The following is a 27,472-nucleotide window of genomic DNA, read 5'->3' on the forward strand; positions in this document are numbered from 1 at the left end:
GCTTCCTGTTGTCTTCACTTTCCTGGCTATGCTTCAGTTTATGGCAAGTTCTGTTGGGTTTTATAGTAGTGGTAAAAAGGCTCCTTTGAAGTAAATTCATTTAAGGAAAATAAAGAAATCCATAGAAGAGAAAAGGGGTGAATCATAGTGGAGGGTGTGGCAGAGCCTGCAGGGGCTTGTGACATGAGACATAGACAGTGGTCAGTCACCCTGACCTCCCTAGCTCCAGCAATCTGCATCCAAACCCAGTTTGGGACCCTGATTTGCACAGTGGCCCAGCAGAAGGGGCACGCTCCTCTCCTCTAGGCCCTGCCACTTCCCCTTTCCACTGGCCCATTGTCCTTCGAGCCCTTCCTCACCTCCCTTCCCTGTGGGAGATGGAGGTGGATGAGAGAAGCCGGCGGGTGTCCCTCCTTCTTATCTGTGCCCAGAGATGTGCATGGCCCAAACACCCTGCAGGTGCCCTGAATAATTTGAAGCAGTGGTGCCACTGCTCTCTGTCCTCCAGCTTTGGTGGCAGCAGCTTCCTGCTGGCACTAAGTGCAGCCCACCTTCCTCTAGGATGTGCAACCAGTTCTCTGCATTAAATGCCTTGTATTCTAAACACATGAGGGCTTTCCGTGAAAGCCTCTGTGGGCTGAGCCCCATTCTCCAGCCCCTGCTGGCCTCAGGTATGCTGTGAGAAGCCAACACACGCATAACGTCTGTCCCTCTCAAGTCCTCCATGGGCATTTTCCTCTGCTGTAAAGCTTTCCCGTCCTGCCTTTTCAAAGTTTTCATGCTCTTCTGCCTAATTTGTAGGCCACCCTTGACTTTGCCACACCCCCTGGGATTTAGGCTTCCTCTAATTTCTGTGAAGCTTGTTTGACATGAAGAGGTGGACATAGCTCAGAAAGGGTTATGACACCATGGCCATCCCCAGCCACGCCACTCACCCACTGATGTTCCCAAGCCGGCCACGACCTCTCTACACCTCGGTGCTCTGATTTGTGACATGGGAAGGGTCTGTTGTTCCTCCAGCCCTAAGATAAGTCACCATATGCATACAGCTTTTTGCTTTTTAAGTAATTATGATAAGACAAATATTCTCAAGAGGGGGATTACTTTGCCAAGGACTATGAGCATTTGGGAGGGCTGCTTCCAATGTTTTTAATGTCTCCATTGCAAATATTGAAGCACACTAAACTCACTTATCATTGTAGGTTCTGATGGACAATTTTTCCCTTTATTCATTAACCACATGTGGGCTGGTCTCTCTGTTAAAAAATTCCAAGTAGTCATTAATTATTCCCAATGATTGCAGGGTTTTAAAGGAGATTTGGAACCAAATGGTGGAGGAATCCCTACTCGCCTATAAAATCCTGCAGCCCTCACCCACCTGACAGCAACTTGCAGCCAGAATGAAAAAAGCAGGAATTCTCAAAAATGGCTTTGAGGCACTGCCTAGCGCCAGCTCAGATAACTACATTTTAATAGATATAATAGCTTTATTGAGATATAATTCCTGTAACATAAAATTCACTCTTTTAAAGTGTACGATTCAATGGCTTTAGTATTCAGAGTTGTGCAGTCATCATCACTAATTCCAGAGCATTTTATCTCCCTAAAAGGAAACACCATGCCCATTAGCAGTCACTCCTAATTCATACCCTGTGTCCCCAAAGCCCCTGACAACCCCCAATCTCCTTTCTGCCTCTATGGATTTGCCTATTCTGGACATTTCGTATACATGAATCATATGCTATTTGTCCTTTCGTGCCTGGCTTCCTTCACCTAGTATGATGTTTTAAGGTCCATTGACATTGCAGCATGAATCAGCACTTCATTCCTTTTTGTGGGCAAATAATATTCCATTGTATGCATCTGCCACATTTTCCTTATCCAGTCATCTGTTGGTTAACTCTTGGATTGTTTTCAGCTGTTGGCTATTGTGAAGAATGCTGCAATAAACATATGTATGCATTTTTATGTGGATGTTTTCATTTCTCCTGGGCATGCACCTAGAAGTGGATTGAGGTCATACAGTAACTCTTTTTAACATTTTGAGGAATTGTTAAACTGTTTTCCATAGTAGCGGCACCATTTTGTGTTCCCATTAGCAATATATGAGGGTTTCACCTTATCTGCATCCTCACCAATGCTTGTTATCATCTGTCTTTTTGATGTTAGCCATCCTCGTGGGTGTGAAGTGGTATCTCGGTGTGGACTTCATTTGCACAGTGGTATTGAGCATCTTTTCATGTGCTTATTGGCATTTGTATTGCCAATATTTGGAAAAATATTTGAATAAATATTTATTCAGATCCTTTGCCCACTGAAGAAAATTTGCCTTTACTGATGAGTTCTTCTTATATTCTGGACAAAAGACCTTTTTCAGATATATAGCTTGCAAATATTTTTTCCCACTCTGTGAGTTCTCTTTTTACCTTCCTGATGGTGTTCTTTGAGGCACAAAAGTTTTTAATTTTGATGAAGTCCAATATATCTGTTTTTTCTTTTGTTGCTTATGTTTCTGGTGTCATATCTAAGAATGCAAGTATACAAAGATTTACTTCTAGTTTTCTTCTAAGAGCTTTGTAGTTTTATCTCCTACATTTAGGTCTTTGATCCACTTTGAGATAACTTTTGCATATGGTGGGTTTGTATATTGTTCTTTGTAACAAATTTCTTTCTAAAGCTGACTACCTTAAAATGGCACTTTATGAGAAACAGTTGTGGTGTCTGGCTCATGTTGTTTTTATTAGTAACAATACTTGTTGGTTTTGGAAGGTGTCTCATCATAAGGAAATCAATGGCACACCCATCATTTCATTCCCCGCTCACCCAGCCCTATACATGTTAGTGACCCCACTTCATAGGTGGGGACATGGACACTTCTGAGGAGAAGGTAAAATCAAAGGGACAGAATGAGGTGAGCCTGTGTTCTTCCCTTAACCCTCCTGCCCTCCTCCCCAGGAAAAATGAGCTTTGCTATGAAGTGGGGTGACCTCCTTACTCACCAGATTCTTTCTTCCTCAGAAACCCCAATCTACTGACTTCTTTGGGCTGTTTGAGGTGTAGGTAGTGACTCTGGGCTAGATATTCTATGTTCTCTTTTTCCTACATCAACAGACTCATCTGTCAAAAGGAAGGAGGGAGGGAGGGGGAAGGAGTGAAGGGAAGGAGGGAAAGAGGGAAGGAAGGAAGGGAGGGAGGGAGGGAAAGAGGGAAGGAAGGAAGCAAGGAAGGAAGGGAGGAAGGAAGGGAGGGAGGAAAAGAGGGAAGGGAGGGAGGGAAGGAAGAGAAAGAGGGAGGGAAGGAAGGAAGGAAAGTGAAGGGGAAAAAAGGAAGGAAGGGAAAGAAGGAAGAAAGGAAGGAGGGAAGGAAAGGGATGGAAAGAAGGAAGGAAGGAAGGAGGGAAGGAAGGGAAAAAGGGATGAAAGGAAGGAAGGGAGGGAGGGAAGGAAATAGGGAAGGAAGGGAGGGAGGGAAGGAAGGAAGGGAAAGAAGGAAGGAAGGAAGGAAGGGAAGAGGGAAGGAAGAAAAAAGGAAAGAAGGAAGGGAAAGAGGGAGGGAGGAAGGAAATGAAAAGAGGGAAGGAAGAGAAAAGGAAGGAATGAAGGGAAAGAGGGAAGGAAAGAAGGAAAGAGGGAAGGAAGAAGGAAGGAAAAGGGAAAGAAGGGAAAGAGGGAAGAAAGGGAAAGAGGGAAGGAAGGAAGGAAGGAAGGAAGGAAGGAAGGAAGGAAGGAAGGAAGGGATGGAGGGAGGGAGGGGAGGTCATTTCCTAGAGGAAGTAAAAGTGCAGCTCCTCTCTGGTCTCCCCTGAGTAGAACATGAGAACATGACTAAACCAAAAATCAGGTATGTCTCTAGAGAGAGCTCGTACATCCAGGCGGACAAGCCTTCCATTACTAAAAGTGCCAGAGACAAGCCAAGGCCTGCGTGTGTGCACAGGAGACTAGAGGGCCCTCTGAGCCCTGGCTGGAGGGGGGACCAGGTTCAAGCCCATCTTCTGCTCACAGCCTGGGTGATCCTGGCAGCCACGTGCCCTCCTTGCTGGGGCTCAGGTGCCTCATCTGTCAAGTGCCGGTGGCTGGGACAGGACCCCTCAGCCTGATAGGCTAAGACTCTAAGTGCTGCTGGAGTTAAGACGGCAACGCAATCTCCAAGCCTGTCAGGGACCCCTGGTAGCTGGGTGAGTGATGGTCCCGGGGGATTGACCAGCTGTTTGGGTGTCCCATAAACACAGCCTTAAAGTGGCTGGTTCCGCCCATCCATCTTGCCCTTGGGGCCGCGCCCTGGCGGCTTTCAGAGTGGCCCTAGTTGACATCGGTGTTGGCCCCTTCCGGGTGGCGCTGGGCCGTTGATGGGCTCTGTGATGGATGGGTCTCCACTGTGGAGGTGCCACAGCTCAGGACGCCCTGAGGGTGACGCCGGGGGCTTCAGCAGGAACAGCTGGGTGGAGGCAGAGCTGTTCTGCTGTGGCTGCAGCCCTGAACTGTGGGATTCAGAGCTGAGAGTGAGGTAATGAAGCCAAGTGCTTCCAGGGTCTACAGATGGAGGTGACCCAGACACACTGTACAATAGACTCTCTGGAGTTTCCTTAGTTCCACAGAAACCTGCTCCCTCCCCTATGGCTGTAGCCTTTTTGTGTCTCTCCTGGTTTCAGATAGAACACCAGCCCCACCAAGCACAGGGCTTCCCTTGGGGCAGTAGAAAGTGGCAATACTATGGCCAGCCAGGCCACTCAGGGGTCTGAATTCAGAACGGCTGTTTTTTCTGATTTCTCCAGGGACCCCTGTACAAACCAAAGTTATCTCTCTGCAACCTCCAGGTCTGACCACGGATAACTGGCTGATTCCTCCTTCTGGCATTCAGGGTTGTACCCCTGTGTTCTGAACTGAGGGCTGGAGAGAGAAATAATGAACTCACCAAGCTCTACTGACTGCCTGCTGCTGGCCGCACATCACAGCCCTTGGATAGCACCATGGCCTGACTTTATGTAGAGCCGCTGACATCCCTAAGGCACTCAGGGCAAGACTGAAACATGCTGAGGCCATGCCCCATGGTGTTAGAAGGGATGATGTGAGCAGCCTGTCTTCTGCTCATTCCTGCAACACGCCTTAGGGTCTCTCAGGGGCATTGTTCATGATGGGAAGCTCGGAGGGCCTGGCCACAGACAGAGGTGACCCACAGTCACTGAGTTGGAGGGGTGGCCCCCAAGCTGGTGGGGAGAGGTAGAGAACTGGTGGAGATGGCTAAGATGATTCCTCATTTCCCCCGAATGGCCCTAGTTTTACTGCCCTTCCCACTACCTGCTTTCTCCAAACACACGCTCCCTCTCTGACCTGGCTGTCCCCCACCATTCTCACTAGAAATGTAGACTCTGGGAGAAAGGAAGGGCCCTTGGATCCCAGGAAGTTCCTTTACAGCTTCCCTAGATGTTGGGCATCTGCTGCTCTACTTGCATGCCCTGCATGACGGGGAGCTCCTCACCCGTCAAGCAGCCCTCCCCATTTTTGTGTCCTTACTGCTGATCTCTGCCATGCCCCCACCCCTCCTGGGGACGCAGCTCTGCTCTCCTAGCCCTAGGACTCCATCAGCTCTTCCTGCCCCAGGACTGGCCCTCAGAGGTGGGGGACAGTGAGTAGATTTCACTACTTTCTACTTAGGCTGTTAGTTGAGTCTAGCAGCCCCAGCTCCCCAGGGGATGGGGTCTCCAGGCCCCTTGTCACTTTAGCTGCCTGCTGTGGACATGCTGGTGTCCCTCCCCAGGGTCCCAGTCCCAGGCTATTCTCCTTCCCACTAACGCTCATTTAGCTCACCTAACTGCCCACTTCGACCACTTGGGGGCCCTTGCTGGTCTGGAATCTGTTCGGTGCCAGACTGAAGCATTAGTGCTAGTCCCTATGGCGCATTCCCAGCCAAACACTGGGGGGACAGCTGTATAGACTGCAAGCTTCCTTCTGTCCCTGTGGCTGTCTTTGCAGCTATTCTTAAACACCTGCTTCTCCCTTTCATTCTGGGCATGTCCCTAGTCCCTTTGAAGTTAGGTGTGGCTGTGTGACTTGCTTGGCAAATGAAATGTGAGCAGAAGAAACACGTGCAGGTTCAGGGTAGAAGCCCCGTCCCCTTTCCCTGGGTGACTGATGGGCTGGCCCATGAAGGCACATCATGTAACTGACTGAAAAATGCATTTTTCTGTGTGCAGACATGAGATGTTGGGCTTGTTTGTTGCTGCAATAGAACCCAGCCCACCCTGACTGTTAGACCCTGAAACTATAATCAGGGCAAATCCCTGCCCTTCTTCATAGCAGAATGTTCTCCAACTACCTAGTGGCTGTTCCCAAAGCACTGGAAGCTCTCTCTGCACCATCATCTTTCCCAAGTAGTCCAGGATATGAGAGGGGCTCAATACATATTTGTTGAATAAGCGAATGAAGGAGGAACTCTCTCTCACCCAGTGGCATCCTTGGGGTTATGGGCAGCCACCTATTGCATCTATTGCACTAAGACTAAATCCCCAACTCCCTACCAGGACCTGCCTGGTCCCCACCAACATCCTCAGCCTCATTGTCTCCCTGCTCCTCCCCACACCACCCTGTCTTGAGCACAAGCACACCCAGCCTATCTTCCCACCCCAGGGCCTTTGCACATGCCATTCCCTTCCTCTGCAGCACTGGATGATTTCTTCTCATGTTGCAGGCTCTGCCCAAATGTTTTTCCTCAGAGCATTCATCCCTGACCACTTGCATCTCAAGGCGTCCCCTACCCACATCACTTTTAAAAAAACATTTTATTTGAAAACAATATACAATTTGTGGAAAATTTGCAGGGATGAGAATGGGACCAAAAACACCTGCATACTCCTCACCTACTGTTAACTTTTTATTATTTACTGGGTTATTTGCTCTTGTTCTTTCTCTCTGTCTCTATCACTGTGTCTCTCCTCTGTGTCTGCCTCTCTCACAAACACACATATTTTGAGGGTAAATTGCAAATGTCATAGCCCTTGACCCCAAAATACTTTGGTGTGGGTTTCCCAAAAATAGAATTATGCTCTTATGTAACTACAGCTCCGTTCTTGACTTTGGTAATATTGAAATTAACATTAACATTGACAAAACACTTTAATCTGCCATCCATGTGCCAATTTTGTCAACTGACACAATGCTGCCCTGACGCAATGCCGCCCTTTATAGCATGTCTTTCCCCTCCATCACCCCATCTGATCCAGGGTCAGGTATTGTATTCAGTTGTTTTGTCTCTTTGGTCTCCTTCAGCCTGAAATGGTGTCCATAATCTTTCGTTGTCTTATATTGCATTGACATTTTTGAAGAACACAGTGTTTTTAGTGAAATGTTTCTCACTTGGAGTTTGTCTGCATTTCCTCCTGTTTGGGTGTGGGTTGTGCCTTCCTACCTGGTGTCAGTGGTGTTAGGGATGTGCGCTTGTAGGGCATCACAACTGGTGGCCCCCGGTGCCCGCATGCACCTCCATGGTGGTCAGTGGTTGATTTTGTCACCCTGCCAGGGTGGGTCCTGATTTCTCCACTGTATAACTTTTCCCCCCTCCTTGCGTTGAATACCTGGTCTATGAGGAGACACCTGCAGAGCATGCAAAAACACCCTACTCCTTGTCAAAGCTTTCCACCGGCTTTATCAGCCATTGATGACTCTTGCCTGAGCCAATCTTTGCCACAATGCTTGCAAAATGTTGATTTTTCCACCCAAATCCTCCCCCAACATTTCCCAGCTGGCTCTCAACTGGGAAATGGGGGAGGAGAGAGGCCTTTTTTTCGAGCCACAAGCCTGCCACAGTTTTGTCAACTGATGCAATGCTGCCCTTTATAGCCTGTCTTTCCCCTTCACCACCACATCTGATCCGAGGTCAGGTATTACATACCTGTATAAATAGTGTATAATCTTCCTTTTTTAGTGCATAACAACATGTTCCAGGCTTATAATGTATTGATCCTGTCCCAAGTTTGGAATCAGCCATTTCTCCAAGGAGCCCTGGATCCCATTCCCAAGGATGGTATTAGAGACCAACATCTGGGTACAGGATGTGCTCACTGCCACTGAGGTGTCTGCTTCAGAGCTCTCTCAGCAGACAGAGCCAGATACAAAAGATGTGTGCATGCATTCAAGACCTTACATACACACACCACATCGTATTCTATAATAGCTTGTCATTCCATCATCCTTTTCTGTAGGTTGAGCTGGAATGATCCGGGTGACTAATCTGACATCTATTTATCCTCCCTCTCCCTGATCCATTCCTAAGTGCCCTGGAAGTGGGGATTGGCCTCCTGTCTTTTCTCTTGCTGTGTGCCCAGCTTGGAGATCTTTAAGAACTTCCGAATGAATGAACCCACTTCCGTAGGCCCCACAAGGCTTTGCCTGAGGCTCTCAGATTCCCAGCAAGGGTCCATGGAACAAGTTAGCTTGTTGGACAGTGTGGTCTCAGGCCCTGGCTTGTGGCAGTAGGCAACAGCCCTATGTCCCTGGTACCTGTCTGCAGCCCTCCTCAAGCCAGCCCTCTAGGGACGGAGCTGCTCCCAGGCCCCTCTGTGCCCATTCCTTGACTCTCTACACTAGCTACAGGTTCAAGGCAGCACCTGGAGTCCTCACAGCAGTCCTGCTCTTTCAGGAATCAGAGCCCCATTTTGCAGATTAGGAAACCAAGGCTCAAAGAGGCTCTGGCCTCTTTGGAAAGAGACTGTGGAGCAGATTTCTGCCCAAGAAAATCATGAATTGCCCTCATGAGCCAAAGGTTTTGTGTGTGCAGAGTGGAACATCTGAGCCTGTCCATTTCTTGGTTGGACATGTGAATAATGTTTTCAAAAGAATTTCTGATTTGATGTCCTGGCCTAGCAGGGCTGCTGTGGGTGAGCCACATTCCACCTGACTCACCTGGTCCCAATTCCAACAGTGTGAGAATTCCCCAGGGCTGCCTTCCTGCTCCGTCTCTGGCACCTAGACCGAAGCAGAAAGAGCGCGGGGCGACTCATGCCGCCTCACATCACTCCTTGGTGACCTTCATCACATCCCTCCAAGCCTCAGTTTCCTAATCTGTCACTGGGGCTAAGTCCCCTCCCCCTTGCAGAGTTGTTGGGGAGGAAGAGTCTCACCTCCTCCAGAGGCCTTGGGAATGCACCCCACAGAGGTCCCATTGCTGTCCCACAACTTCACGGCTGTGTGACCAGCAGACACGAAAGGGGAGGGCAGCTCATTTTTCAAACAAAACGGTATCAGATGTGTGATTTGGTTAAAAAAATATATATTTCTGGCAATGGCTTCAGCTTTGCTCAAGAGAGAACTGGGTTGGGGGGAGAAGGTGGAGGGGAGGCTGTTCCAGTGGCTTAAAAAACCCCAGATAAGTGTACGGTGATTAAGCGCAACCATTAGCTCTAATGGGCAATAATTGGTGATGAGAAATAATTTTCTAGGGCACGACTGCCCCTGGTGCCCCCACACCCGGCCCCAGCAAGGGGACAGCCAAGGGGCTGATTAACTCCCAGGCTGGAGGAAATGTCGGAGGCACAAAAAGTTTCCAGATTCGAGGGTAATTGGGAGAAGTTATTTCACTTTCCACATCAGGCTGATGAGGGGCCACCCACCTGCCGGTGAGGGAGGGGCTCGGCCGGCTTCCTGCCCAGAAATGGAGGGCCACTGTGCAAGGGGCAGGGGTGGCCAGCATGGTTAGAGGGTGGGGGCAATTCCCACCTGTGTCACTGCTGGCCCTGTGACCCAGGGCAAGTCACCACAGGGTCCCTTCTCTGTCCTGACTTGCTCCCCAACCAGTATTTGCACAGGCCCTCGTCCTTTTCACCTCAAAATTCACAGACAAACCCACCAGCCAGCAGTTCAGTCTTCCCGAGTGCCCTCCCTTCCCCCAGAGCCTGCCCAAGGACCTGCTAGCCTTAGGGTACCTTTGTGGGATTCAGGGGAAGATGCCCCTCTTGGCCGCAGGCTACAACCTTGAGTGTGTCCAGCAGGAGCTGGCTGGACTCCTTGGAGCTCCTGTGTGCAGTGCACAACCTGCCCAACAGCCCTCTGCAGCCCAGCTGTGCTCATGTCTTCATCTCCTTCCTCCTCACTCTGCCCACTCAGCCTGTCCCCAGAAAGAGCTCTTGGTCACTTCAAATGAGTGAAGTCAAAGGCCCCACCTCTCTGCCCCCCACCTGCCTGCTCCTTCTTTCTTGAGCTCTGCTGCCTCCAAGACCTGCCTTCCTCTCTGCCTCAGCCTCACTCCCCTCTTCCCCAGTCCAAAGCACAAATTCTCCCATCCCCAACCCAATCTCTCTCTGAAAGCCCTTTGCCCTGGGGACTTACTGCACACCCTGATCATCTCCCTCCCAGATCTGCACCTCTCCCTGGGTCCATGAGTGGGTCTCTCTCCTCTCTCTCTTACTTTTTCTCCCTCTCCCTCGTCCTCTCCATGTGTGTGTATGTGTGTTCAGTGTGTCTTTCATAGTGATTGACCCAAGGCAGTGAGACAAGCATGCCTCCTGAAGCTAAGGAGGCTTTGTGCAATAGGAAGGCCTTTCCCTTCCCTGGCTCAGGGCTGCAGTGCTCTCCCAGGCATGAGACTGAGCTCCCCCTCACAGGAGGCATGTAACCAGGGCCTGTACGGCTGCACCCCTAGGATGCTGCAGAGAGGAGTCCTGTCCTTTGAGGGCCTAGGTGGGATAATCTAAGGAGGTGTTGGCCTAGGATAAGCTGAGGCCTCTAGGCTGACCCCATGGCAGCCTCCTCTAGCTGTCCTCTCTGCCGTCTGCAGGCCAGGGCTTCAGCTCCCAAGTTGCAGGTGAGGTCAGCCTCAGGATACCTCCACCACTGACCAGCTGCCGAACCTCTCTGGGCCACAATGTCCTCCTCTGAAAATGAAAATCGTGGTGTTACCACCTCACGGGACCGACCCGAGGATGAAGGAGCTGGCCACAGAGGTGCTTCCAGGACAGACTGGTGCCCAGAAGACTCCAGGACAACAGCTGCTGGTATCACTGCGTGGGGCAGTGAGACATCGGGGCTGTTCCCGCTGCATGATTGCCCCGTCCCAGGTTGTTGCCCACAAAGTCCCCTCTATATGCGCTGTGCCCCCAGAATTGCGCAGCGTCAGTTATAAACGTAATACTGTGTGGCCGGTGCCGTTGTAAGCACTGTAGATGAGTGTGTTTATTCTGTTTCTCCACACCTCTGTGAGGTGGGCATTCTTGTGACCCCTATTCCATCGGCGAGAATCGGGGGCAGCCAGATCCAATAACTTGCCGCAGGCTGGGCTGGCACTGCGTGCTGCGCCTCCTCTGAGCCTAGCACTCTGGCCTCACAGTCGGTGCTCGTAGCATTTCAGCTGTATGACTCTAACAGCAATTACAGTCATGGCCTTCGCCGCCGCCACCATTCCCGTTCCGGTTGGAGAACACAATGCACCGCGCACAGGCTGTGCCAAAGTCCACAGGCACCCTTCGGCCTCCATCATCGCGCCCTCTTCACAGATGAGCAAACGGAGGCCAGACGTCACCGGCAGGCGGCGCTGCGGTGCGCGAGGCCTCGCACCTGCACGGGAAGCAGCGGAGAGGACGCAGGTAAGGTAAAGCCAGGCAGACCCGAACCTGGACGCGCACCTGCGGGGGAGGGGGTATGCGCGGGGCGGGTTGCCGCCCCTCCCGGGAGTACGGGCGGAGGCAGGGGCGGGCGGGGGCTTTCAGCAGCTCGTCCGCGGAACATTTGCATGTAATTTGGGAGCGGGTCACATGTGGGAGTCATCAGGCAGAGGAAAGGCTCAATCAGGGCCTAATCACTGTCTGTTTGGAGGGGTCTGGGCCCAAGTGAAAAATGAAAACGGGGCTATTTTGCTTGAGTGACAGCCATCAGTGGCCACCTTTGACCTCCCCACTCGGGCTGGGTCTGCCCGAGGTTTAAAAACCAATCATCAGGGAAGGGGTGGGAGGGGCTCCCTCTCCTCGGCTCTCCCCTCCCCCATCCTTTTCCCTCCCTGGACCTGGGTTTGTAAAATTCATTCATTCACTCCCATTCATTCTTTCAACAACCCATCCTAGGGCAGCAGGACTCCCTGGTCAGGGCCCCTGGGGCAGATGCCGGATTTGAGTTCTGACACTGTCACTTGCCAGCCGGCGACCTTGGGCAGGTGACTGTCAAGCGTCAGTGTTCCATCTGCGAAATGGATGCAGGAGGCACGCAGAGAAGAGTTGATGTTGGTGAGGTGCTGAGGGAGGCGGGGCCGCAGGGGCAGGGGGCGAGCCCTCCTTCAGCCCTCCCCCTAAGGGACAGGAGCTTTGTAGAGGAGGGCCAAGAGGTCAGGTAGGTTGCAGCGGCTCTGCTTTTTGCATGAATGCGTACCCTTCCTCCCGACACCCTGTGCACAAGGCGCAACCTGGTTCGCAATGTACAGAAGAGAGGCCTCTGCCAGGTGAACAAAAGAGAGGGCACACGCAGGCCAGGGAGACCGAGAGAGAGCAGGGAGGTGCCGGACTGCCCACGGGCAGTGAAGGGCAGTGACTGCTCCCTAAAGCAGCCATGAGCCCGGGCTTGGTTCACCCCGGCATGGAGGGACTCAGCCCACTGTCCCAGAATGGTCTCCAGATCCCTAGAGACCCAAGGGCCTGGACCCGGTGGTATAGAGTGACCACTGCAATGGCGGTCTGCAGGCCACTGGGGGCAGCAGAGAGGAGCCGCCCCCGGCTCAGGCGGGACAAGCTCAGCCAGCAAGCTTCTGCCAGCACAGCCTGTGGGGGCCAGCTGCGCCCCACTGCACCGGCTGCTGGGCCACCGTGCCTCTGCCCTCTCTGCCACCCAGTGGAACCCTTTTGCCCCGAAGGGGCCCTTGGAGTCGTCCTCCCACGGCCGAGGCCGGGAATTCCAGGCAGCCGGTGCAGCTGCGGGTCGGTGGCCCTTTCAGGCCTGAGGAATTGCTCCGGCGGCCGGGGGGCGGGCTGGGCGCCGGGTACATTAGCGCCTGCTTTGCTCGCTGATGGTGTTTATAGGGATGTGGAACGGGCCTCCAGGAAACCGTCTGGCAGGCCGGGCTTCAGCAAATGGATTGCCAATTAATCAGCATCTATTTATGAGAACGTTTAAACCATTATTAATGTAGTGTAAATACGGAACCGCTGGCGGCCCAGGGCGGGCGGGCGGGCAGGGGGCCATCTGCCGAGGCTGCCATCACATTCCTGGGGCGTGTTCCCGCTCCCACCCTCCTGGGGAGGGGTCCCACCCCTTGCCCTCATCCCCGGCCAAGCCTGCTCCTCCAGGTGCCGGCTTCCTCCTGCTGGGCCCTGCTGGTTCTGAGGCCTGCGGCTGCAGCCTGCCACGTTCTCAAGTTTTTCACCCAAGATGCTGAACAGGGGCGTGAAGGGTGAGTCCCGCCTCAGTCACTCAGCAGGGGTCCGCAGCAGCCCCTGGCAGGCCTTGGCAGGGCTCTTTTCCACCCAGGGGGAGACTGGGCAGGTGTCCCACGCTGGGCCTGGCTGCCTCTTCCCCTCCTCCTTCCTGCTCTGGACAGTGGATCTCATCCTCATCCTGACAGAGCTCAGCCCCTGGAGGCAGGGGAGGAGGAGCTGGGGCATTTTCCCAGCCCCTCCCTCACCTGTGGGTCCCAGTTCCCAAGGCTTCCCCCAACCCCAAGACCTAGGGGCTCTCAACTTTCCCCCCAGACTATCCCAAGGACAAAACAAGGTGATTTGCGCACACTGCTGGCACCTCCACTTCTCTCCAAAGATACCAGCTGAGCCCTCTGCCTCCTCCCTGACCTGTCTGGGCCTCCAGTATACATTGAGCCAAGCCGGGTGGCCTCTCGGAGAGCTGGTGCTGACCAAGACACCGCAGCCAGCCTGCGCCGTGGACTGGGGGGCTCCAGGACTTTCAGCCTGCTCACCCCCAATGTCCTGATGATCCTTCTTCCTTAGCATCACCTCAGATGGCTTTTTCTTTACCAACTGTACCCATTTTACAGATGAGAGACTGAGGTTTAGAATGGAGAAGGAGCTGCCTGAGGCAACAGAGACAGAGAGCCAGAACTGAAACGAGGCACCCCCACCCGACCCCTGCGACCCAACACCCACCGTGTCCTGTTCCTCTGCAGGCCTCTGAGGTTCCTAAACTACATGACCACATATTTTGAGACCTTTGAGTTTTTATGAACGCTCTCCAGAGTTTCCCAATCTCTATGTTTCATTAGCTGTGCTCACCTGGGCCTGCCTCCTTTCTCTGAATGCTTTGCGTGGAGGTGGCTGCACACCTTCGCACTGGATGCCAAGCAAGAGCAGTTAGCCTGAGAGTTCACTCTGCAAAAAAGAAAACAAATAATGAGTCTGTGCTTTGACGCTGGGTGTTATCAAACATCTTTGGTAATTGCGAGGACTTTCCCTGCTCTGGGAAGTTGAGGTGTTGGTCTAACGGGGGCTCTTGACAGGGAATGCCATGAGGAGGTGGCAGCACAGTGCTGAGGAGAGGGCCAAGCCCTCCAAGGCACGGGGAGCTGCTCCCTCCTGTCCCCACCCTGGGAACAAGGCCCTCCCTCTGCAGGCCTCCACCCTGTGCTACGCTGCTAACACTTACGGTTGGTGTGTTTATTTTTTCACTCAACTCTGTGCCCCTTGAGGATGGGGACAGCGTTTTCACCCCCATTACATCCTGGTGCCTCGAGAAGATGCCAACCAATGTTTGTTGACTGACTGACCATTTGGGAAATTTCTGCTTGGCACCGCTTCCCCAGGCTCCCCTCTTTTCTCTCTGGCCCCAGCCCATCTGCCTTGCTGGCTTCAGCCCTGGTCACTCCTCCAAATCCCAGAGCCAGGCTAAGGCCCAGAAGCATGGAGGGGTTCAAGGAGCCGGGACTAGACCAGACAGCCTTTAAGATGGATGCCCCATCTATCCCAACCCACCCCTGTGGGATCACCAGGCCTCAGGACAGCCACCTGCCTGTGGTCACTCAGCACGCCACAAAGCTAAGGTTTCTGATGTCCTGAGGGGCCCCCAGAGCTGCTCCACGCCCCGGGCCCCCGGGCCCTGCTGCACTGGCATGCTGGGAGGAAAGAGAACAAAGACGAGGCATATGCCCCTATTTCCCGGCCTCGCTCCCTGCCCCCCATTAGCCTAGTGAGGCTTGTTTATATTAGAGCAGGAATTATTCCAGCCCTAATCAGAGGCCCTGCGAGGTTTCGGCATTCGAGGTATTTCTTTACCCAAGGACACTCTCCAATCCTATAATTTCCATTTCCCCAGACGCCCCTGATTGAAAGCAAACATTTTATATTTGGAAAGGAAAAGGGCTGTGTGCTATTCATAGCCCAGCCTGGCTGTCCAGAGCTAGGTCCTGGGGGACTGAAGGCCTGGAGGGATGGACAAATCTGGGAGGGTGGCAGGGGGCATGGCTAGGTCCCAGCCAGGAGAGGTGTGGGGAGATCACAGCCCAGGGGTGGGGAGACCGAGGGACAGAGAGAGAGCCCCTTGCCACCAACTGCCCAGCCAGGGATGTCTGGCACTGCACAGCCTCCCTGGTTGAGGGGACAATGTGCGGGAAGGGGGTGCTATAGTAGCAGAGCCTGTGGGCTGGGAAGAGGGTGGATGGGGGTGCAACTTGAGCCCCTTCCTCCTCTGCACCCCCTTGCCAGGTAGCTTCACTGCCTCTTGCAGGTGAGGATAGGAGGCACGTTGCAGGGATGGGATGGAATAAAATACTAACAGTGGGCCTGGGGACAGAGGCCAGCGTTTGCCCAAAGGGACTTTGAGAAGCCTACTGTCCAGGGGACTCTGTCTCCACTTCGGGCCCCTCTGTTTTCTGATATTCAGCTCCCCACTCCAGGTGCTGCCCACCCCTCTCGAGTCACACTCACCCATCACTCCACAACTTCTTAGGGGCTGAGAAGCACATGGACTCCACACCAATCCCAGGCCACTCTGCTCCCCTCGCCCTTCCCTTCTGAGTTCTTTCCTCCCTCCCTCGATGTGGAAGTCCGGGCAAGGACGACGTGTTCTTCACGGGAGGATATCAGACCCCCACTTACTCAAAGCTGTGTGTAGGCAGCCTCTTCCATGTGCCACACACCACCCTTTTGGAAAGATGCCTTCATTAATCCTTAGAAGCAGATATTATTATTCCCATTTCATGGATAAAGAAACCAAGGCTTGTTGAGCTTAAGTCACCATTGTCCCATCTATGTCCCTTGAATCTCAGTGCCTCAGCACTCACCTCCTAAGACCAGTGTAAATAAACTCAGGCATGGTGTGCTGGAGGTCACAGCCCGCTGGCACATGCTGAGTGGGGCACACACTATTCTTATTTAAATGAATGGATTTCAGGGAAGCAGGGAAATGAAGAGGGACTGCATGTTTCTGCACTGTATCAATCCGTATTATTGGAATGATTAAGAGACTGCATTTGGAATTTAATTTTTTCCTTACGATTTAATTTTTATTTTTATCAAAGTCATGCATTGCAGCATTTTGTTAACTGCTTTATTGAAGTATAACTGATACGTAGTAAAATGCAAACAAGTAAAGTATGAAAGTTGATAAGTTCTTAGAAAAGCTTTTTTGAGATATAATTCACATACCGTACAATTCACCCATTTAAAGTGTAAAATTCAGTGATTTTTGGTATATTATTAATTATTTTTTAAATTGTGGTAGAGTATATATAACACAAAATTTGCCATCTTAACTGTTTTAAGTGTATAATTCAGTGACATTAAGTAATACACATTGTTGTGCAACCATCACCCCAAACAGAAACTGTACCCATGAAACAGTAACTCTCCATTTCCCCTCCCCTCTAGCCCCTAGTAAACTCTAATTTTTGTCTCTATGATTTTGCCTATTATAGATATTTAATGTAAGTGGAATCAGAGTATGTGTCCTTTTGTGTCTGGCTTATTCCACTTAGCATGTTTTCAAAGTTCATCTATGCTGTAGTATGTATCAGAATTTCCTTCCTTTTTATTGTGGAATAATATTCCATCGTATGGATAAACCACATTCCTCTAAGGGTGGGTTGTTTCCACCCTTTGGCTAATTGTGAATAATGCTACATAAACCACTGGCAAACAAGTATCTGTTCAAGTTCCTGTTGTCAATTCTTTTAGGTATATAGCTAGGACTGAAATTGCTGGGTTATATGATAACTCTATGTTTAGTTGTTTGAGGAACTTCAAAACTTTTCCATGGTGTTGGTACCATTTTACATTCTCACCACGCATGTATGAGGGTTCCATTTCATCACCTCTTTGTCAACACTTGCTACTTTCTGTTTTTTTTTAGTTATAGCCATCCTAGTAAGTGTAAAGTGGTATCTCATTCTGGTTTTGATTTGCATTTTTCTAATGGCTAATGATGTCAAGCATCTTTTCATGTCTTGTTGGCTATTTGCCCATTATTTAATTGGATTGTCTTTTTGTTGTTGAGTTGTAAGGGTTTTTATATATTCTGGATATTAAACCCTTATCAGATATGTGGTTTACAAATAACTCTCTTCCATTCTGTAATTTGTCTTTTTCTTAATAAAAATTGATATGCTTCTGTACATATGTGTATGTGTTTGTGTCTATCTATCTATCTATCATCTATCTATCTATCTATCTATCTATCTATCTATCTATCTATCTATCTATCTGTGGAACCCTCACCACAATGAAAATACTGAACATATAAATCACCCCCCAAAATTTTTCATGTGTAGCTTTTTTTCACTCAGCCTAATTGCATGGAAATTTATCCATGCTGTCACATGTATAAATACTTTATTCTTTTTTACTGCTGAGTAGGATTCCATGGTGTGAATACACCACACAGTAGTTTGATCATTCACCTGCTAAAGGATACTTGAGTTGGTTCCAGTTTGGGGCTATTAATTCTGGTTATTAAATAGTTTCTCTGAACATTCATATGCAAGTCTTCATTTCTCTTGAGTGTATACCTAGGTATATAATTGCTGGGTAATATGGAAACTGTAATATCTTGAGGAACTGCTAAACAGTTTTCCAAGGCAATTGCACAATTTTGCATTCCCACCAACTGTGCATAAGGGTTATAATTTCTCTACATACTTGCTATTGTCTTTTTTATTCTGGTCATTTTAGTGGATGTGAAGTGGTATAGCTCATGATTTTGACTGGCATTTGCCTGTTGACTAATGATAGCAAACATCTTTTTATATTCTTAATATCTATTGTATATCTTCCTTAAAGAAATGTCATTTTAGACCCTTTGCCCATCTATAGATTGGGTTACTTGTCTTTTTGTTATTTCGTAGTAATTTTTTTTATATTCTAGATGCAAATCTCTTATAAGATATACGATTTGCAAATATTTTATCTCACTTTGTGTTTTTTTTTACTTTCTTGATGGTGTCTTTTGAAGTGTAAAAAGTTTTAATTTTGATGATGTTCAGTCTATTTTTTTTCTGCTGCTTGTGCTTTTGATGTCAATCTAAGAAACTATTTCCCATTTAAGATTCTGAAGATCTACACCTGTGTTTTCTTCTAAGACATATAGTTTTAGCTTTTACATTTAAGTCTTTGATCCATTTTGAGGTAATTTTGGTATATGGTGTGAGGTAGGGATACTCCTTCATTCTTTTGCATGTGGATATTCAGTTGTCCTAGTACCATTTGCTAAGAAGATTTTTCTTCCTCCATTGAATCATCTGGCTACCCTCATCATAAATCAATTGACGATAAAAGTGAGAGCTCATTTCTGGACTCATAGTTCTATTCCATTTAAATAAAGGTCTTTCCTATGCCACTGCCAAAATGTCTTGATCACTATTGCTTTGTAGTAAGTTTTGAAATAGGAAAAGAATGACTGTTCCAACTTTGTTCTTTTTCCAAGATTATTTTGACAATTTCAGGTCCTTTGAATTTCTTTATAAATTTTAGGGTCAGCTTATCAATTTCCAAAAATAAATCAGCTGAAATTTTGATAGGGATTGCATTGAATCTGCACATCATTTTGGATAACATTGCGTTCGTGACAATAGTAAGTCTTTTGTCCATGAATATGGGATGAATATGGGATGTTTTTCCATTTATTTAGGTCTTCTTTAATTTCTTTCAACAATATTTTGTAGTTTTGAAAGTAAAAGTTTTGCACTTCTTTTGTTAAACTTATTCTTAAGTATTTTATTCTTGTTCATGTTATTGTAAATGTTGTTTAGAAATATATTTGATTTTTATATATCGATCCTATATTCTGCAACTGTGTTGAACTTGTTTATTAGTTCTAATAATAGTTTTTTTAGCGAATTCCTTAGGAGTTTATGTATAAAAGTTCATTTCTTCTTCAAATAGAGATCATTTTATTTCTTACTTTTCAATCTAGATACATTTTATTTTTTTTCTTACTTAATTTCGCTGGTTAGAACCTCCAGTAAAAGTTGAACGGAAGTGGTGAGAACAGACATCCTTGTTTTTTTCTTGATCTTAAGAGAAAATAAGTCAGCTTTTCATTATTATATATGAAGTTAACTTCATGGGTTTTTCATTGGTTTCCTTCTATTCTCGGTTTGTTCAGTGTTTTTATCATAAAAAGGTGTTAGATTTTGTCAACTGTCTTTTTTTCATCAATTGAGATGAAAGTATGGGTTTTTCCTTCATTCTGTTGATGTAGTGTATCACTTTAACTGATTTTCAGATGATAAGGCAACCTTGCATTCCTGAGATAGATCTCATTTGATCATAGTATATAATTCTTTTTGTTCATTGCTGGATTCTATTTGATAGTGTTTTGTTGAACTTTTTGGTGTCTATATTCATTAAAAGTGAGAATGAATGAAATATGGTTTTCCTGTGGAGTATCTGTCTAGTTTTGAAATAAGGGCAATACTGGTCTCATAGAATGGGGTGGAAAGTGCTCCAACCTCTTTTATTTTTGCAAGAGTTTGTGAAAAAATAATATTAATTCTTCTTTAAGTGCTTGGTAGAATTAGCTAGTGAAGCCATTTGGTCTTGGGCTTTTTTGGCAGAAGTTTTTTTTTTTTTATTACTAAGCCAAACTCTTTACTTGTATAAGTATATTCAGATTTTCTATTTCTTCTCATGTCAGCTTCAGTTGCTCTTTTTTCTAGGAATTTGTCCATTTCATCTAAGTTATATAATTTTTGGCACACAGTTTTTCATAGTATTCCTTTGTAGTTGTGTTTATTTCTGTAAAGTCAGTAGTTATGTCTCCTATTTCACTTCTGATTTTGGAATTTTGAGTCATCTCTTTTTTTCTTAGTCAGTCTAGATGTAGTCCTTAGTGTAAAAATGATTTATACTAGTCCTTAGTGTAAAAAAGAATTTACACTACTCCTTAGTGTAAAAAGGATTCTGTACCACGACTAAGTGTAAATTTTGTTGTCTGTTAATTTTGTTAATTTTTTTTGAGAACCAATGCTTGATTTAGTTGATTTTCTCTATTATTTTTGTACTCTCTGATTCATTAATTTTCACTGTAATCATTATTTCCTTTCTGCTGCTTACTTTGGGCTCAGTTTGCACTTCTTATTCCAGGTTCTTAAGGTGGAAGGATATTGATTTGAGATCTTTATTTTTATTCCATGTAATTCACATCTGTAAATCTCCCTCTAAGCAGTATGTTAGCTGCATTCCAGAAATTTTCATGTGTTGTGTTTTCATTTTTACCTATCTCAAAGTATTTTTCTAATTTCCTTTGTGATTTTTTGACCCATTGGTATTTCATAGTATGTTGTTTAATTCTCACATATTTATGAATTTCCCAAATTTCTTTTTGTTATTAGTTTTCAATTTCACTCCATTGTAATTGGAGGTCCTGTAAATTTCAATTATTTTAAATTTATTTAGGCTTACTTGGTGATCTGCCCTGTTGTCTGTCCTGTAGAATGTTTCATTTGTGCTTGAGAATAATGTGATTCTTGTTAGGCACAGTGTTCTATACATATCTGTTAAGTCTAGTTTGTGTATATTGCTGTTCAAGTCTTCTATTTCCTTGTTGACCTTTTGTCAAGTTGTTCTATCCATTATATAGAGTATTGAAGTTTCTAATTGTTATTGTTGAATTGTCTATTTCCACTTTCAATTCTGTTAGGGTTTGCTTCGTATATCACAGAGCTCTGTTGTTAGGTGCACATATGTTTATAATTGTTACAACTTCCTGATTGACTGACACTTTTATCATTATAAAATATCCCTATTTATCTTCAGGGAAAAAAAATTAAAGCTATTTTATATGGTATTAATATAGCCACTCCAGCTTTCTTATGGTTGTTATATGCATGATATATCTTTTCCATCCTTTCACTTTCAACCTATTTGTATCTTTGAATCAAACATATCTCCTAAAGCCAACATGTAATTGGATTATGTGCTTTATTCAGTATGACAATTCTGCTTTTTGATTGGATTGTTTAATCCATTCTAAGTTAATGTTGTTATTGATATTGTTGGACTTACATCTGACATTTCATTTTTGTTTACTATATGTCTCCTTTATTTTGTTCCTCTTTTCCTCCTTGATTTCTTTCTTTTGTGTGGAGTTAATATTTTATAGTATAACATTTTAATTCCTTTAATGATTTTTCCTTTATTAAAAAAATTTGTTGTCACATAATAGATATACATATTTTCAGGATATATGTGATAAATTAATACATTTATATAATTTATAAAGATGAATTTAGTATAATTGGGATATTCACCACCTTGAATATTTATTCTTTCATTATGCTAGAAACATTTGAATTATTCTCTTCTAGTTATTTTGAAATATGCAATAGATTATTAGAAACTACAGCCACCCTACCAACTGTCAAACATTAGATCTTCTTTCTTCTGTCAAATTGTATATTTAGACTCATTAATTAAACCCTTTTCTCCCACCTCCACCTTCCCGGTCTCTGATAATCACCAATGTACTTTTTATCTTTATGAGACCCACTTTTTTAAACTCCCATGTATGAGTGAGAACATGTGACATTTGTCTTTCTGTACTTGGCTTATTTCACTTAACATAGTGATCTCCAGTTCCATCCATGTTGCTGCAAATGACTGAAATTTTTTTTAATGGCTGAATATATTCCATTGCGTATATATACACCACATTTTCTTTATCCATTCATCCACCAATGGGCACTTAGGTCAATTCCATATTTTGGCTACTGTGAACAGTGCTACAATAAATGTGGGAGTTCATATGTCTCTGTGATATATTAATTTCATTTCTTTTGGATATATACCCAGTAGTGAAATTGCTGGATCATGTGATAGTTCCATTTTTAGTTTTTTGAGAAACCTTCATACAGTTTTCCATAGTGGCTGTACTAATTTACATTCCCGCCAACAGTGTAGAAGGGCTCTCCTTTCTCTACATTCTCACCAGCATCTGTTATTCCCTGTCTTCTTTATAAAAGCCATTTTAGCTGGGGTGAAATGATCTCTCACTGTGATTTTTATTTGAATTTCTCTGGCAGTGAAGTTGAGCATTTTCTTCATATACCTTTTGGTCATTTGTATGACTCCTTTTGAGAAATATCTCTTCAGATATTTGGCCCATTTTAAAATTGGATTATTTGGAGTTTTTTGCTACTGAGTTGTTTGAGCTCCTTATATATTCCGGTTATTAATTTCTTGTCTGATGGGTAGTTTGCAAATATTTTCTTCCATTTTGTAGGTTGTCTTTACACTTTGTTGATTGTTTCCTTTCCTGTGCAGAGCTTTTTAGCTTGATGTAATCCCATTTGCCTATTTTTGCTTTGATTGTGCTTTTGAGATCTTACACACACAAAAATCTTTGCCCAGACCAATGTCCTGGAGCAGTTCCCCAGTGTTTTCTTCTAGTAGTTTCCTAGTTTCAGGTCTTAGGTTTAAGCGTTTAATCCATTTTGATTTGATTTGAGAGAGGTCTAGTTTCATTCTTCTGCATGATTATCCAGTTTTCCAGAACCATTTATGGACGAGGCTGCCCCTTCCGCAGTGTATGTTCTTTGTGCCTTTGTTAAAAATAATAGACGTATATGTGGGTTCTCTACGCTGTTCCATTGGTCTATGTGTCTTTTTTAAATGCCAGTACCATGCTGATTTGGCGGTATATTTTGCTATATATACTACCATGTTGATTGTAATATGTTTCAAAAGCCATATGATGCCTCCAGCTTTGTTCTTTTTGCTCAAAATTTCTTCATCAAATAGATGTGGCTCCATGTACATTTTAGTATTTAAAAAATTTCTGTGAAGTATGTCAATGTTATTTTATAGGGATTGCATTGAATCTGTAGGTTGCTTTGAGTGCATTGTCATTTTAACAATATTAATACTTGCAGTCCCTGAGTATGGAATATCTTTCAATTTGTGTGTTTATGTGTGTGTGTGTGTGTGTGTGTGTCCTCTCCAATTTCCTTCATCAGTGTTTTATAGATTTCCTTATATAGATCTTTCACTTCTTTGGTTAAATTGATTCCTATGTATTTTATATTTTTGTAGCTACTGTAAGTAGAGTTGCTTTCTTAATTTCCTTTTCAGATTGTTCACTGTTAGCGTATATAAGTTCTACAAATTTTTGTATATTGATTTTATATCCTACAGCTTTACTGAATTTGTTTATCAATCCTAGAAGTTTTTTGGTGGAGTCTTTAGGTTTTTCTAAGTATAAGATCATGTCATCTGTGAACAAGGCTAACTTGACTTCTTACTTTCTAATTTGGTCTCTTTTCTATATTTCTTTTAGCTAATTGCTCTGGGACTTCAAGTATTATGTTGGATAAAAGTGGTGAAAGTGGGACTCTGCCTTGTTCCAAATCTTAGAGGAAAGGCTTTCAATTTTTCCCTATTCAGTATGAGGTTAGCTGTGGGTTTGTCATATATGGCCTTTATTATTTTGTAATATGTGCCTTTAATACCCAGTTTGTTGAGAGTTTTTAACATAAAAATTCTTAACTTTTTAGCATAAAAATTTAACATAAAGGGATGCTGAATCTTATTGAATGCTTTTTCAGCATCATTGAAATGATCATATGGCTTTTATTCTTGGTTTTGTTAATGTGATGTAACATGCTTATTGATTTGAATATGTTAAACCATTCTTGCATACCTAGGATAAATCCCACTTGATCATGGTGAACAATCTTTTTAATGTGTTGTTGAATTTGGTTTGCTAGTATTTTGTTGAGAATTTTTGCATCCATATCCATCAGTGACATTGACCTGTTATGTTCTTTTATGTTGTATTGTCTTATTCTGGCCTCATAGAATTAGTTTGGAAGTATTCCCTCCTGTTTAATTTTTTGATGAGTTTGAGTAGAATTGGTGTTAGTTCTTTTTTTTTTAATTTAAAAATTTAATTTATTTTTAGACTCATAGGGCACATGTGCAGATTTGTTTCATGGGTATATTGCATGATGCTGAAATTTGGGCTTCTTTTTTCTGATTTTTTGATTTTTTTATTTAAATTTTATTATTATTATAATTTAAGTTTTAGGGTACATGTGCACAATGTGCAGGTTTGTTACATATGTATACATGTGCCATGTTGGTGTGCTGCACCCATTAACTCGTCATTTAGCATTAGGTATATCTCCTAATGCCATCCCTCACCCCTCCCCTCACGCCACAACAGTTCTCGGTGTGTGATGTTCCCTTTCCTGTGTCCATGTGTTCTCATTGTTCAATTCCCACCTATGAGTGAGAACATGTGGTGTTTGGTTTTTTGTCCTTGCGATAGTTTGCTGAGAATGATGGTTTCCAGCTTCATCCATGTCCCTACAAAGGACATGAACTCATCATTTTTTATGGCTGCATAGTATTTCATGGTGTATATGTGCCACATTTTCTTAATCCAGTCTATCATTGTTGGACATTTGGGTTGGTTCCAAGTCTTTGCTATTGTCAATAGTGCTGCAATAAACATACGTGTTCATGTGTCTTTATAGCAGCATGATTTATAATCCTTTGGGTATATACACGGTAATGGGATGTCTGGGTCAAATGGCATTTCTAGTTCTAGATCCCTGAGGAATCACCACACTGACTTCCACAATGCAATGAACTAGCTTACAGTCCCACCAACAGTGTAAAAGTGTTCCTATTTCTCCACATCCTCTCCAGCACCTGTTGTTTCCTGACTTTTTAATGATCGCCATTCTAACTGGTGTGAGATGGTATCTCATTGTGGTTTTGATTTGCATTTCTCTGATGGCCAGGGATGATGAGCATTTTTTCATGTGTTTTTTGGCTGCATAAATGTCTTCTTTTGAGATGTGTCTGTTCATATCCTTCACCCACTTTTTGATGGGGTTGTTTGTTTTTTTCTTGTAAATTTGTTTGAGTTAATTGTAGATTCTGGATATTAGCCCTTTGTCAGATGAGTAGCTTGCAAAAATTTTCTCCCATTCTATAGGTTGCCTGTTCACTCTGATGGTAGTTTCTTTTGCTGTGCAGAAGCTCTTTAGTTTAATTAGATCCCATTTGTCAATTTTGGCTTTTGTTGCCATTGCTTTTGGTGTTTTAGACATGAAGTCCTTGCCCACGCCTATGTCCTGAATGGTAATGCCTAGGTTTTCTTCTAGGGTTTTTATGGCTTGAGGTCTAACGTTTAAGTATTTAATCCATCTTGAATTAATTTTTGTATAAGGTGTAAGGAAGGGATCCAGTTTCAGCTTTCTACATATGGCTAGCCAGTTTTCCCAGCCCCATTTATTAAATAGGGAATCCTTTCCCCATTGCTTGTTTTTGTCAGGTTTGTCATAGATCAGATAGTTGTAGATATGCGGCACTATTTCTGAGGGCTCTGTTCTGTTCCATTGGTCTATATCTCTATTTTGGTACCAGTACTATGCTGTTTTGGTTACTGTAGCCTTGTAGTATAGTTTGAAGTCAGGTAGGGTGATGCCTCCAGCTTTGTTCTTTTGGCTTAGGATTGACTTGGCAATGTGGGCTCTTTTTTTGGTTCCATATGAACTTTAAAGTAGTTTTTTCCAATTCTGTGAAGAAAGTCATTGGTACCTTGATGGGGATGGCATTGAATCTATAAATTACCTTGGGCAGTATGGCCATTTTCACAATATTGATTCTTCCTACCCATCAGCATGGAATACTCTTCCATTTGTTTGTATCCTCTTTTATTTCATTGAGCAGTGGTTTCTAGTTCTCCTTGAAGAGGTCCTTCACATCCCTTGTAAGTTGGATTCCTAGGTATTTTATTCTCTTTGAAGCAATTGTGAATGGGAGTTCATTCATGATTTGGCTCTCTGTTTGTCTGTTATTGGTGTATAAGAATGCTTGTGATTTTTGCACATTGATTTTGTATCCTGAGACTTTGCCGAAGTTGCTTATCAGCTTAAGGGGATTTTGGGCTGAGACAATGGGGTTTTCTAGATATACAATCATGTCATCTGCAAACAGGGACAATTTGACTTCCTCTTTTCCTAATTGAATACCCTTTATTTCCTTCTCCTGCCTGATTGCCCCGGCCAGAACTTCCAACACTATGTTGAACAGGAGCGGTGAGAGAGGGCATCCCTGTCTTATGCCAGCTTTCAAAGGGAGTGCTTCCAGTTTTTGTCCATTCAGTATGATATTGGCTGTGGGTTTGTCATAGATAGCTCTTATTATTTTGAGGTACATCCCATCAATACCTAATTTATTGAGAGTTTTTAGCATGAAGGGTTGTTGAATTTTGTCAAAGGCCTTTTCTGCATCTATTGAGATAATCATGTGGTTTTTGTCTTTGGTTCTGTTTATATACTGGAGTACATTTATTGATTTTCGTATGTTGAACCAGCCTTGCATCCCAGGGATGAAGCCCACTTGATCATGGTGGATAAGCTTGTTGATGTGCTGCTGGATTCAGTTTGCCAGTATTTTATTGAGGATATTTGCATCAATGTTCATCAAGGATATTGGTCTAAAATTCTCTTTTTTTGTTGTGTCTCTGCCAGGCTTTGGTATCAGGATGATGCTGGCCTCATAAAATGAGTTAGGGAGGATTCCATCTTTTTCTATTGATTGGAATAGTTTCAGAAGCCGATCCCACAGAAATACAAACTGCCATCGGAGAATACTATAAACACCTACACAAATAAACTAGAAAATCTAGAAGAAATGGATAAATTCCTCAACCCATACACCCTCCCAAGACTAAACCAGGAAGAAGTTGAATCTCTGAATAGACCAATAACACGCTCTGAAATTGAGGCAATAATTAATAGCTTACCAACCAAAAAAAATCCAGGACCAGATGGATTCACAGCCGAATTCTACCAGAGGTACAAGGAGGAGCTGGTACCATTCCTTCTGAAACTATTCCAATCAATAGAAAAAGAGGGTATTAGTTCTTCTTTAAATGTTTGGTAGAATTCAGCAGTAAAGCCATCAGGTCCTGGGCTTTTCTCTAATACGAGACTTTTTATCACATCTTCAATGTTGTTTCTTATTCTCGGTTTGTTGAGGTTTTCTATTTCTTCATGGTTCAATCTTAGTAGATTGTATGTGTCCAGGAAATTATCCATTTCTTCTAGGTTT

The 27,472-nt window shown here is 44.9% G+C and overlaps 1 long non-coding RNA gene and 1 other non-coding gene across 3 annotated transcripts in view, besides 1 other annotated feature; both read left to right on the plus strand.

Annotated features, from left to right (window-relative positions):
• Positions 1 to 27,472, plus strand: part of LOC101928014 (uncharacterized) — a 49,991-nt gene that overhangs the window by 6,598 nt on the left and 15,921 nt on the right. The window contains exon 2 of one of the 2 annotated variants that reach the window (NR_188448.1): positions 10,765 to 11,569. The exons of the other annotated variant lie outside the window; for it this stretch is intronic. This is a non-coding gene — a long non-coding RNA (uncharacterized LOC101928014). The remainder of the gene's footprint in view (positions 1 to 10,764; positions 11,570 to 27,472) is intronic. 2 annotated transcript variants of the gene reach the window in all.
• On the plus strand, positions 4,411 to 4,475 carry MIR4291 (microRNA 4291). Its single transcript, NR_036254.1, has one exon. It is a non-coding gene; the product is annotated as a microRNA 4291 (primary transcript).
• Positions 14,992 to 15,161: an enhancer, noted in NCBI's record as "experimental_109955 CRE fragment used in MPRA reporter constructs". NCBI's record gives its function as "activates a minimal promoter by MPRAs in K562 erythroleukemia cells, with activity observed for both the introgressed and non-introgressed 9:96592305 variant alleles {active_cell/tissue: K562}" and the evidence as "EXISTENCE:reporter gene assay evidence [ECO:0000049][PMID:34662402]".

Source organism: Homo sapiens, chromosome 9 (genome assembly GCF_000001405.40).
Source record: "Homo sapiens chromosome 9, GRCh38.p14 Primary Assembly".
Classification (NCBI taxonomy): domain Eukaryota; kingdom Metazoa; phylum Chordata; class Mammalia; order Primates; family Hominidae; genus Homo; species Homo sapiens.